The following is a 13,659-nucleotide window of genomic DNA, read 5'->3' on the forward strand; positions in this document are numbered from 1 at the left end:
TTGGGGTTCATTTCCTCCCCCTACCCCGAAGGGGTGGACCCCGTCATTCCCGCAAAATGACCGGGGCGGGGACCCTTGTGACGTTGAGCCGAGCCAGGAGGGGTCAGAGCCTGGGCGGGGTCGGGGCGCGACCACCCCAAGAGCTGCTGGCCGGATGGGTCTTTGCAAGTCCAAGCTGCCCGAGATGGGCAGGGCTCTGAGGCCCCAGGAGAAGGGTAACGTCGCGGGGGCGGCTGGCTGGCTTCCTGGGGGGAAGGGAAGGAAGCTGCCGAGAACAGGAGGGAGATGCAGGATCCCCTACCCCGTTCCAGGCATGCACACATCCCCCGAATCATGGCAGTAACACAACTGCGCATGCTCACGGCGCAACCATTCATTGCTCCACTTCGCAAATACTCCAGCACCTCCTGGGTTCGGGGCCCCGCAAGGTGAATCTGTCAAACCAGCTCCCCACGGAGGATTACAGTGTCCTCTCGAGGGTTACAGTGTCGTGGAAGAGACAGAGTCACAGCATGGGAATCTACAACCCAGGAAGGAGCAGGAGAAGCACAGCGGGGCTCTGAGGGCTCAGAGAAGAGGGGAGGTTTCAGTTGGGCACTGAGGGATGCATAGGAGTTGGCTAAGCAAAGGGAAGGCGGGCAAGACACAAAAGTTGGGCCATGAACTACAGACACCGTCGATGTGTCTGTTTTCATTTATTTCTCATCCACCACTAAATGTCAGGAACCGCCAACCCCTAGGAATATAGGAATGAGGGAGGCAGAAATAGTCCTTGCCCTCATGGAGTGTCTGGCTTGGGGGAGACAAGAACGAGTAAACGGCTGGGCACGGTGGCTCATGCCTGTAATCCCAGCACTTTGGGAGGCCGAGGCGGGCGGATCACCTGAGGTTGAGAGTTCGAGACCAGCCTGACCAACGTGGAGAAACCCCGTCTCTACTAAAAATACAAGATTAGCCGGGCGTGGTAGCACATGCCTGTAATCCCAGCTACTCGGGAGGCTGAGACAGGAGAATCGCTTGAACCTGGGAGGCAGAGGTTGTGGTGAGCCGAGATCGCGCCATTGCCCTCCAGTCTGGGCAACAAGAGCGAAACTCCGTCTCAAAAAAAAAAAAAAAAAAAAAAGAAGGAAAAGAAGGAAAAAAAAAGAACGAGTAAACAGAGAAGATCATGACAGACTGTGGCCATTGCTGTGGAGGAAATAGGTGTCTCAGACAAGGAGTGATGGGGGGAAGCTCTAGATGGAGGCTAGAGAAGGCCAGATGGAAGTTGTGGCCAGAAGGAACTGGGGCAGGCAGGGATTTTCCAAGCAGAGGAAACAGCAAGGGAGAAGTGAGTTTCAAATTCAAAGAACTGAAGCCCCCTGGGGCTGGGACAAAGAGAAGGGGAGTATGGGTTGGGGCTGGGACAGAGGGAAGGGGAGTAGGATATGGGGCTGGAACAGAGAGAAGGGGAGTATGGGATGAGACTGGGAGCGTGGGCAAGTCCCTGCCTCTCACTGAACCTCGGTTCCCTCCACTGTAAAATGGGATGATAGAGTCCTCAGGATGCTTTAAGGAGATGCCGTGTGTGAAGGGCCTGGCCTGCTCAAGTTCACGTCTTTGTTTTTTTTTATTTTATTTTTTTGAGACGGAGTCTCGCTCTGTCGCCCAGGCTAGAGTGCAGTGGCACGATCTCGGCTCACTGCAAGCTCTGCCTCCCGGGTTCACGCCATTCTCCTTCCTCAGCCTCCCAAGTAGCTAGGCCTACAGGTGCCCATCACCACGCCCAGCTAATTTTTTGTATTTTTAATAGAGACAGGTTTTCACCGTGTTACCCAAGATGGTCTCGATCTCCTGACCTGAAGTGATCTGCCCACCTCGGCCTCCCAAAGTGCTAGGATTACAGTGCTAGGCATGAGCCCACCGCACCTGGCCACATCATTTTTTTTTTTAAATGGAGTCTTGCTTTGTTGCCCAGTCTGGAGTGCAGTGGCACAATCTCGGCTCACTGCAACCTTTGGCTCCTGGGTTCAAGCGATTCTCCTGCTTCAGCCTCACGAATAGGTGTGCACCACCACACCCAGCTAATTTTTTTTGTATTTTTAGTAGTGATGGGGTTTCACCCTGTTGGCCAGGCTGGTCTCAAACTCCTGACATCAAGGGATCCACCCGCCTCGGCCTCCCAAAGTGCAGGGATTATAGGCGTGAGCCACCACACCTGGCCTCAAGTTCACATCTTCATCCAAAGCGGCACAAACACACAACGTGCCTGGCTATGCCCTTGAGAACAGAACCATACCCCTAAGAGGCCGGGCGCGGTGGCTCACGCCTGTAATCCCAGCACTTTGGGAGGCCGAGGCGGGCAGATCATGAGGTCAGGAGATCGAGACCATCCTGGCTAACATGGTGAAACCCCGTCTCTGCTAAAAACACAAAGAAAATTAGCCGGGCGCGGTGGCGGGTGCCTGTAGTCCCAGCTACTCAGGAGGCTGAGGCAGGAGAATGGCATGAACCCGGGAGGCGGAGCTTGCAGTGAGCCGAGATAGCGCCATTGCACTCCAGCCTGGGCGACAGAGCAAGACTCTGCCTCAAAAAAAAAAAAAAAAAAAAAAAGAACCATACCCCTAAGATGCCACCCTACAGCAAGAGTATGCCAAGAGACTTTGTCCAATGTCACTCAGGGACACCTGTGCCCCTACAGGCACTAACCCATCTCCCTCACTCTTCCTGGGCACCACAGACATTCTCAAGTCCCCCCTGGATGGGGGGCCCGGGCTGTGGCAAAGGGACACAGTGCAAGAATATGGCGACCAAGTACGGCTTCTGCCATGTGGGGCTGGACCAGCTACTGAGACAGGAGGCTCAAAGGAGCACGCAGCGGGGCCGGCAGATCCGTGACATCACGCTGCAGGGGCTCCTGGTGCCCGCGGTAGGAGCTCATGGGAGGGGTTAGGGCGGAAGGGGTACCTTGGGACAACCACCCACCAGGAGGGCTCACGGGACCCAGAAGGTTGCAACTTCCCATGTGGCCATTGCCTTGCTGCACTGAACCTTCATTTCCTTATCTGTGAAAAGGGGAGATCCCATCAAAAGGCCGTAGGGGTCTGGCCCAGTGGCTCACGCCTGTAATTCCAGCACTTTGGGAGGCCAAGGCAGGTGGGTCACCTGAGTTCGGGAGTTCAAGAGCAGCCTGACCAACATGGAGAAATCCCATCTCTACTAAAAATACAAAATTAGCCGGGCATGGTGGCGCATACCTGTAATCCCAGCTACTCAGGAGGCTGAGGCAGGAGAATCACTTGAACCCGGGAGGCGGAGGTTGTGGTGAGCTGAGATCATGCCATTACACTACTCCAGCCTGGGCAACAAGAGGAAAACCCCGTCTAAAAAAAAAAAAAAATCACTCACTAGGGAAGCGCTCACTGTTTGGTGAAATGGAGGGTGCCCCATTCATGAATTGCAAATAAAGATCAATTTGAGCTAAAAAAAATCACTCAAGGACAGGCACAGTGGCTCACGCCTGTATTCCCAACACTTTGGGAGGCCAAGGTCTGAGCATTGCTTGAGCCCAGGAGTTTGAGACCAGCCTGGGCAACATAGCAAGCCCTGTCTCTTAAAAAAAATAAATTTATTTATTTGAGATGGAGTTTCACTCTTGTCGTCCAGGCTGCAGTGCAATGGCGTGATCTCGGCTCACTGCAACCTCCACCTCCCTGGTTCAAGCGATTCTCCTGCCTCAGCCTCCCAAGTAGCTGGGATTACAGGCACACACCACCATGCCCTGCTAATTTCTGTATTTTTAGTAGAAACAGGGTTTCACCATGTTGCCCAGGCTGGTCTTGAACTCCTGACGTCAGGTGATTCACTCGCCTCGGCCTCCTAAAGTGCTGGGATTACAGGCATGAGCCACTGTGCCTGGACTAAATTATCCATTAACTAATTTATTTATTGACACGAGTCTCACTCTCTTACCCCAGGCTGGACAGCAATGGCATGATTTCGGCTCACTGTAACTTCTGCCTCCCGAGTTTAAGTGATTCTCATGCCTCAGCCTCTTGAGTAGCTGGGACTACATGCGTGCGCCACCATGCCCAGCTAATTTTTGTATTTTTAGTAGAGATGGGGTTTCCCCATATTGCCCAAACTGCTCTTGAACTCCTGATGTCAAGTGATCCACCCACCTTGGCCTCCCAAAGTGCAAGGATGACAGGTGTGAGCCACCGTGCCTGGTCAAAACAATAAATTTTTGTTTGTTTGTTTGTTTGTTTTTTGAGACGGAGTCACTGTGTCGCCCAGGCTGGAGTGCAGTGGCCCAATCTCGACTCACTGCAAGCTCCACCTCCCGGGTTCACGCCATTCTCCTGCCGCAGCCTCCTGAGTAGCTGGGACTACAGGCGCCCGCCACCATGCCCGGCTAATTTTTTTGTATTTTTAGTAGAGATGGGGTTTCACCATTTTAGCCAGGATGGTCTCGATCTCCTGACCTCGTGATCCGCCCACCTTGGCCTCCCAAAGTGCTGGGACCGTGCCCGGCCCAAAACAATACATTTTAAAAAGTTAGCTGGTACTGCAGGAAAAAGGCATATAATAAAAATGAACCAAGAAAAATTTTAAAAGAAAAAATTTAGCTGGGCATGGTGGCATGAATCTATATTCCAGCTACCTGGAGGCTGAAGTGAGAGGATTCCTTGAGCCCAGGAAGTCGAGGCTGCAGTGAGCCGTGACTGCACCACTGCTCTCCAGCCGGGAAGACAGAGCAAGACCCTGTCTCACCCAGGCGCGGTGGCTCATACCTATAATCCCAGCACTTTGGAGGCCAAGACGGGTGGATCACGAGGTCAGGAGTTCGAGACCAGCCTGGCCAACGTGGTGAAGCCTCTTCTCTACTGAAAATACAGAAATTATCCGGGCATGGTGGTAGGCGCCTATAATCCCAGCTACTCGGGAGCCTGAGGCAGTAGAATCGCTTGAACCCGGGAGATGGAGGTTGCGGTGAGCCGAGATCATGCTACTGCACTCCAGCCTGGGCAATAGACCCAGACTCAGTTAAAAAAAAAAAAAAAAAAAAGGCTGAGTGCAGTGGCTCACGCCTGTAATCCCAACACTTTAGGAGGCCAAGGCGGGTGAATCACTTGAGGTCAGGAGTTCAAGACCAGCCTGGCCAACATGGTGAAACCCCATTTCTACTAAAAGTACAAACAAACAAACAAAAAATCAAAATTAGCTGGGCATGGTGGCATGCACCTGTAATCCCCAGCTACTCGGGAGGCTGAGGCAGGAGAATCGCTTGGACCCGGGAGGTGGAGGTTGCAGTGGGCTGAGCTCACACCATTGCACTCCAGCCTGGGCAACAGAGCGAGAGTCTGTCTCAAGAAAATAAAAAATGGCTAGGTGTGGTGGCTCATGCCTGTACTCCCAGCACTTTGGGAGGCCGGATCACCTGAGGCCAGGAGTTCGAGACCAGCCTGGCCAACATATAGTGAAACCCCGTCTCTACTAAAAAATACAAAAATTAGCTGGGCATGATGGTGCACACCTGCAATCCCAGCTACTTGGGAAGCTGAGGAAAGAGGATCGCTTCAACCCCGGACGCGGAGGTTGCAGTGAGCTGAGATTGTGCCACTGCACTCCAGCCTGGGCAACAGAGTGAGACTCCATCTCTTTAAAAAACAAAAACAAACCAAAAAAATCACTCAACAGAATTAGCTAGTATTTATTTCCTTTGTCACCCCGTGAAGCCACTTCCTCACCCGAAAAATGAAGGGGACCCCAGTACCTGCCTCATAACATGGTGATGATTAAGGTACAAGCCCAGCACTGGCATGCCTCCTTTTCAGAAGCAGGTTTTTGTTTTGTTTTGTTTTGCTTTGTTTGAGGAGTCTCACTCTGTTACCCAGGCCGGAGTGCCATGGCACCGTCTTTGCTCACTGCAGCCTCTGCCTCCCGGGTTCAAGTGATTTTTGTGCCTTAGTCTCTCGGGTAGCTGGGATTACAGGTGTGCACCACCATGCCTGGCTAATTTTTGTATTTTTCGTGGAGACAGGGTTTCACCATGTTGGCCAGGCTGGTCTTGAACTCCTGACCTCAGGTGATCTGCCCGCCTCAGCCTCTCAGAGTGCTAGGATTACAGGCATGAGCCACTGCTCCCAGCGTAGTTTTTGGATTTTTAGTAGAGACAGGGTTTCACCATGTTGGCCAGGCTGGTCTTGAACTCCTGACCTCAGGTGGTCCATCTACTTTGGCCTCCCAAAGTGTTGGGATTAGAGGCGTGAGCCACCGCACCCAGTGAAGAAGCAATTTCTTTAGAGCATTGTAGCAGACTCAGAATCCAGGGCGCCAAGCAGGGTATAGTCACCCTGTCTTCACCTAAAGTCCAGATGGAGGAATAGAACTTGACAGGGAGAGCCACCTTAGAAACTGATCTCCCCAGGGTGATTCGGCGGGGAAAGAAGGGCTCCCGGGTGCTGAATTCACCCACTCCCTTCCCAGGGCATCATCCCAGATATGGTCAGTGACAACATGTTGTCCCGCCCGGAGAGCCGGGGCTTCCTCATCGATGGCTTTCCCCAGGAGGTGAAGCAGGCCATGGAGTTTGAGCGCATCGTGAGTGGCCCTGAAGTGTGGGTGTGGGTGTGTGCGTGTCTGTGTGCATGTGTGGAGGTGTGAGGCCATCCCTCCCCGCCCACCTTGGATAAGGCTGCACAGACTAGAGATAAGAAAGGCTGAGATACAAGGAGAGAGGAGATGCTGAGAGGGAAATGGAGTTTTTTTGTTATTTATTTATTTATTTATTTATTTATTTATTTATTTTTTAGGCAGAGTCTCCTTCTGTCGCCCAGGCTGGAGTGCAATGGTGCAATCTTGGTTCACCACAACCTCTGCCTCCTGGGTTCAAGCGATCCTCGTGCCTCAGCCTCCTGAGTAGCTGGGACTACAGTAAGCACCCGCCACCACGCAGGGCTAATTTTTGTATTTTTGGTAGAGATGGGGTTTCATCATGTTGGCCACACTGGTCTTGAACTCCTGACCTCAAGTGATTTGCCTGCCTCGGCCTCCTAAAGTACTGAGATTACAGGCGTGAGCCACCATGCCGGCCTGTTTTTTTTGGGTGTTGAGGACAGGGTCTCACTCTGTTGCCCAGTCTGGAGTGCTGTGGTGCGATCATAGCTCACTGCAGCATTAAACTCCTCCCACTTCAGCCCCCCAAGTACCTAATTTTTTTTTTTTTCTTTAAGACAGAGTCTCTCTCTGTTGCCCAGGCTGGAGTGCAATGGCGTGATCTCGGCTCACGGCAACCTCTGCCTCCCGGGTTCAAGCGATTCTCCTGCCTTAGCCCCCTGAGTAGTTGGGATTACAGGTGCCTGCCACCACACCCGGCTAATTTTTTTTTTTTTTTTTTTTTTTTTTTGTATTTTTAGTAGAGACAGGGTTTTCTCCATGTTGGCCAGGCTGGTCTCGAACTCCTGACCTCAGGTGATCCACCCACCTCGGCCTCCCAAAGTGCTTGGATTATAGGCATGAGCCACCGTGCCCAGCCAAGTACCTTTTTTGTTTGTTTGTTTGTTTGTAGACATAGGTTTCCTCTATGTTGCTCAGGCTGGTTTCTAACTCCTGGCCTCAAGCAATCCCCCCACTTCAACCTCCCAATGTGCCGGGAGTATGGGCATGAGACCCTGCACCTGCCTGGGAAACAGAGTGTTCTATTATCAAGGGAAAGTCAGGGTGTTGGAAGTTTCTAGAACCCAGATGAGGAGCTAGGGAGCTCTCTGAGGGCAGGGAGGAAGTCATTTCAGTATCTTCCTGCCCAGTTCCTGGCATGTGGTGGGTGAACCATTTGCCCACTGAATAGCGTGTGGGTTTAGCATCCTCCCTAGGCCATAGAGAGAGATTCGTGTTGTTCATTCATCTGTTTATGCAACCACCTGTCCCCGAAGTGTTCTTAGAGAAAGCCCTGCCCTCGGGGCTGGGGATACAGAGTTTACAAGATGCCGACATCAGAGTGAGAAAGAGAGGCACGAAGTCATGCAAAACAAAGACATTTCTGGGCTGGGCGCAGCGGCTCATGCCTGTAATCCCAGCATTTTGGGAGTCCGAGGTGGGTGGATCACCTGAGGTCGGGAGTTTGAGACCAGCCTGGCGAACATGGTGAAACCCCCTCTCTACTAAAAATACAAAAAAAATTAGCCAGTCACGGTGGTGCGCGCCTGTAATCCCAGCTACTGGGGAGGCTGAGCTACGAGGATCACTTGAACCCGGGAGGTGGAGGTTGCAGTGAGCTGAGATTGTGTCACTGCACTCCAGCTTGGTGACAGATGGAGACTCTGTCTCAAAACAAACAAACAAATAAAACCTACAAAGACATTTATAATAGCAGTTAAGTGCGGCGAAGAACAGAAAACAGAATGACATTTGGGAGGAACGAGAGTGTGCTCTTTTGGGCTGGGTGGGCTGGGTGGGCTGGATGGTGGCCTCCCTGACGTGGATACACTGGGGCCCTGAGTGGAGGATGAGGAGCTGGTGCTGGGAAGGTTGGAGGGAATTTCTTCAGGTGATTTTCACACTTCCGCGTGGCTTTTGTGCAAGCAGCTGTCTGAACACGTGAACAGTGACGATACTGTGGACTGAACAAGGAGGGATCTTTTTGATTCTGTTTGGAAACAGTTGAGCAGGAAAAGAGAGGCCGGGTGCAGTGGCTCACGCCTGTAATCCCAGGACTTTGGGAGGCCAAGGAGGGCAGATCGCTTGAGCCCAGGAGTTCGAGACCAGCCTGGGCAACATAACAAGACCTCTGTGTCTACAAAAAAAATTTAAAAATGAGCCAGGCGTGGTGGTGCATGCCTGTAGTCCCAGCTATTTAGGAGGCTGAGGTGGGAGAATCACTTGAGCCCAGGAAGTCAATGCTACAGTGAGATATAATTACACCACTGCACTCCAGCCTGGGTGACAGAGCAAGACACTGTCTCTAAACAAACAAACAAAACATAAAAAAACAGGAAGGAAAAGAGAAGAGAAACTGTCTGTCAGGCTACAGACCTTGAGGCTTCTCTGAGGCTTGTTGGATTCCACTTAAAATACCTTTCGATTCCAGACCAGCCTGACCAACATGGAGAAATCCTAACTCTACTAAAAATACAAAATTAGCCAGGCATGGTGGCGCATGCCTGAAATCCCAGCTACTTGGGAGACTGAGGCAGGAGAATGGCTTGAACCCGGGAGGCGGAGGTTGTAGTGAGCCAAGACTGCACCCTTGCACTCCAGCCTGGGCAACAAGAGCGAAACTCCGTCTCAAAAAAAAAAAAAAAACCTTTTGAAGAAGCACTTTGATGGAATCAAAGGTCATGGGCGCCAGGGCAGCTGTTCCCACATGCAGGTGGGGGCCCTGCCCTTTGTTCACACCTACATTCAAGGAATTCTGTTGGGCTCATAATTCGTTGTGATGGGGTTAAAGGACAAATCTCAGGCCCCCGCCTCAGGACTGGGAGTTCTCCGAGGGCAAAGGTCGGGCTCATTCATTTCTATGCCTGCCCCAGCCTCAGGCCAGTGCCCGGAAGAAAGCAGGTCCCCAGCTCCACCAGTGGCTTCTAGGTCTCAGAACAGAGGCTACAGACCGTGGCATGGGCCCCTTTGGGTCCACCAAAGTGTTCGGTTTGGACTTTACAGCATTTTGCATTTTCCTTTTTGGGTTCACGGCCAACATTCGACAACAGGGAGCTTCCACATCAAAACTCCCAGCTTCTCTTGAAAACCGACTGACTTGGCAACGCAGGGCCTGCACGTCCCCATGGCAACAGCTGCGTGAACGCTTCCTGAGCTTTTATTGAGCCCAGCACTGTTCTCAACACTCTGCATGGATGAACTCATCTTCCGGAACGTTCCAGGCATTAGCATCCCGATGTTTTGCAGAGCGATCGGGGAGCTGCAATAGGGTCACACAATGTAGGTGGGGAAGGCAGGGCAGAAGCCCAGGCAACCCCACTCCTTGGGCCCATATTTTTTAACTTTTTATTTTAGTATAGAGATGGGGGCCAGACGTGGTGGCTCACGCCTGTAATCCCAGCACTTTGGGAGGCCCAGGTGGGTGGATCACCTGAGGTCAGGAGTTTGAGACCAGCCTGGTGTGATGGCCAACATGGTGAAACCTCGTCTCTACTAAAATACAAAAATTAGCCGGGCGTGATGGTGAGCGCCTGTAATCCCAGCTACTCCTGAGGCTAAGGCAGGAGAATCACTTGAACCCGGGAGGCAGAGGTTGTAGTGAGCTGAGATCACACCACTGCACTCCAGCCTGGGCGACAGAGCGAGACTCCCTCTCAAAAAAATCAAAATAAAAATTAGCTGGGCTTGGTGGCGCAAGCCTGTAATCCCAGCTACTCAGGAGGCTGAAGCAGGAGAATCTCTTGAACCTGGGAGGCGGAGGTTGCAGTGAGCAGAGATCGCATCACTGCACTCCAGCCTGGGTGACAGAGCAAGACTCTGTCTCAAAAAATAAATAAATAAATAAATAAATAAATAAATAAATAGGGTCTTGCTGTGTTGCCCAGGCTGGTCCTGAACTCCTGGCCTCAAGCTCCCACCTCAGCCTCCCAAAGTTCTGGGATTACAGGCGTGAGCCACCACGCCCAGCCTCCAAGGCCCCAATTTTAATTCCTTTACTGTGCAACTGACTTTGTCACGGTCACTCCTAGAGGCATTTGAGTCTGCAGTGTCCCTGCCTTAGAGTCTGTCCAGAGGTTCCTAGTAGCACAGCATCCCTGGAGCCTGAAACACAGACCATGCCTAGCCCCATCTGGGACCCCAGCTGGCTCATGCGTCTTTGTTTGGTGCATTTTGGTGAAGCAGGTCTGGCTTGATGATGGATCCCCAGGATGGAGATCTCTATGCACAAGAACACAATGTGCAGGAAGGGTGTGGTGATTCCCCTTATGATTCCCACTGTCCTGTATACTCCAGACACCATGGGGGGCCGTCCTGGGTGAACCCACTGAAATCCATGGGAAGCCAAGGTTGGACACAGCCTCAGCATTCCAGGGAGACTCTCGCCCCTATTTTACAGATGGGGAAACCAAGGCCCAAGGAGGAAGGGTTGCCTCCTCTTAATTTTTAGGGCTGGGTGAGGTGGCTCATGCCTGTAATCCCAGCATTTTGGGAGGCAGACGCGGGTGGATTGCTTGAGCCCAGAAGTTCCAGACCAGCCTGGGCAACACGACAAAACCCCATCTGTACAAAAAAAAAAAAAAAAATACAAAAAAATTAGCTAGGTGCAGTGGCAAGCACCTGTGGTCCCAGCTACTAGGGAGGCTGAGGTGGGAGAACTGCTTGAGAACCAGGAGCGTTCAGTGAGCTGAGAATGCACCACAGCACTCCAGCCAGAGCGACAGGAGTGAAACCCTGTTTCAAAATAAATAAATAAATAAAATAAGTGGTTTTTTTTTTTTTTTTTTCTGAGAGAAGTCTCGCTCTTGCCCCCAGGTCTGAGTGCAATGGCTTGATCTCGGCTCACTGCAACCTCCACCTCCCGGGTTCAAACAATTCTTCTGCCTCTGCCTCCCAAGTAGCTGGGATTAATGCACCTGCGACCATGCCTGGCTAATTTTTGTATTTTTTGTAGAGATGGGGCTTCACCATGTTGGGCAGGCTGTTCTCGAACTCCTGACCTCAGGTGATCCGCCCGTCTCGGCCTCCCAAAGTGCTGGGATTACAAGTGTGAGCCACCGTGCCCAGCCATAAAGTATGTATTTTTTAAAACCTTTTTATTAATTATAGACTCACAAGGAAATGCTGAGATAGTAGAGAGGTCTCATATGCCCTCCGCCCAGCTCCCCCACAATGAGGATGTCTTTTTTTTTTTTTTTTGAGACAGAGTCTCGCTCTGTCACCCAGGCTGGAGTGCAGTGGTGTGATCTTGGCTCACTGCAAGCTCCGCCTCCTGGGTTCACGCCATTCTGCTGCCTCAGCCTCCCCAGCAGCTGGGACTACAGACACCCGCCACCACACCTGGCTAATTTTTTTGTATTTTTAGTACAGACGGGGTTTCACCGTGTTAGCCAGGATTGTCTCGATCTCCTGACCTCGTGATCTGCCCGCCTCGGCCTCCCAAAGTGCTGGGATTACAGGCGTGAGCCACCGCGCCCGGCCTTTTCTTTTTTTTTTTTAAATGGAGTCGCACCCTGTCACCCAGGTTGGAGTGCAGTGGTGCGATCTCAGCTCACTGCAACCTCCGCCTACCGAGTTCAAGCGATTCTCCTGCCTCAGTCTCCCGAGTAGCTGGGACTACAGGCATGTGCCACCATGCCTGGCTAACTTTTGTATTTTAGTAGAGAGGGGGTTTCGCCATGTTGGCCAGGATGGTCTCAAACTGACCTCAGGTGATCCACCCGCCTTGGCCTCCCAAAGTGCTGGGATTACAGGCGTGAGCCACCGTGCCTGGCCGTGGTCGAATGCTTCTTGTTTTCTGGTACAAGACTTTAAACTCCCGCTTTATTTTTATTTTTTATTTTTTTTTGTCACCCAGGCTGGAGTGCAATGGCACCATCTCAGCTCACCGCAACTTCTGCCTCCCAGGTTCAAGCAATTCTCCTGCCTCAGCCTCCTGAGTAGCTGAGATTACAGGCGCCCACCATCATGCCTGGCTAAATTTTATATTTTTAGTACAGATGGGGTTTCACCATGTTGGCCAGGCTGGTCTCGAACTCCTGACCTCAGGTGATCCACCCACCTTGGCCTCTTAAAGTGCTTGGATTACAGGTGTGAGCCACCACGCCCGGCCTAAACTCCCACTTTTTACATTTCTTGCTCAGTCCTGGAATGGGTCTTTTCCAGAAGCCCTTTTCGTGGTGCAAAATTAGGGTTCAAAGAATACTCGTTGCTATTGGGTTGTCATCGTTTCTGGATCTTCCCAGTGAACAGAGCTAAGAAACACATACTCTTGAAAGAGAAAAAGAAATCACAAGTTCATTCTGATATTTCACGTTCACGTGACACTTACAGTGTTGTTCCTTCCCTTTTCTCTTTCCCTAAAAATTTTGGTTCTTAATACCACTAACATACTCATTTGCATCATACCATTAGATACCAAATAGTTTGAAAACAATATGCCAACATTAACTACTAAGAATAAAACTATATGTGTTGAAACATCACTATGTACCCTATACACATGTACAATTATTGGGTCAAAACAATAAATAAAAGAATAAAATTAGAAAAGGAAGTTTAAGATTTCTTTATAGCTCTCATTTTCCTTTATTATTATTATTTATTTATTTTAGTTTTCTTTTTTGAGACAGAGTCTTGTCCTTTGTCCAGGCTGGAGTGCAGTGGCATGATCTCGGCTCACTGCAACCTCTGCCTCCCAGGTTCAAGCGATCTCTGGATAATTTTTGTATTTTTAATAGAAATGGGATTTCGTCATGTTGGCCAGGCTGGTCTCAAACTCCTGACCTCAGGTGATCCACCCGCCTTGGCCTCCCAAAGTGCTGGGATTACAGGCGTGAGCCACCGTGCTTGGCCTCGTTTTCCTTTAATATGTAGGTCCTCTGTATCCATGGGGGATTGGTTCCAGGATCTGTCTCAGATACCAAAATCCATGGATGCTGAAGTTTTTTTGTTTGTTTGTTTTTGAGACAGGGTCTCGCTCTGTCGCCAGGCTGGAGTGTAGTGGCGTGATCTCTTCTCACTACA

General features: G+C 51.1%; 1 pseudogene across 1 annotated transcript in view; it reads left to right on the forward strand.

Moving 5' to 3' along the window:
• The first annotated feature begins 129 nt into the window (after positions 1 to 129).
• The window catches only part of LOC390877 (adenylate kinase isoenzyme 1-like), an 18,636-nt pseudogene continuing 5,106 nt past the window's right edge, over positions 130 to 13,659 (forward strand). Inside the window, exons 1-2 of the transcript NR_172890.1 lie at positions 130 to 215; positions 2,720 to 2,908. The product of NR_172890.1 is annotated as an adenylate kinase isoenzyme 1-like (transcript). The remainder of the gene's footprint in view (positions 216 to 2,719; positions 2,909 to 13,659) is intronic.

This window comes from Homo sapiens, chromosome 19 (genome assembly GCF_000001405.40).
Source record: "Homo sapiens chromosome 19, GRCh38.p14 Primary Assembly".
Classification (NCBI taxonomy): Eukaryota; Metazoa; Chordata; class Mammalia; order Primates; family Hominidae; genus Homo; species Homo sapiens.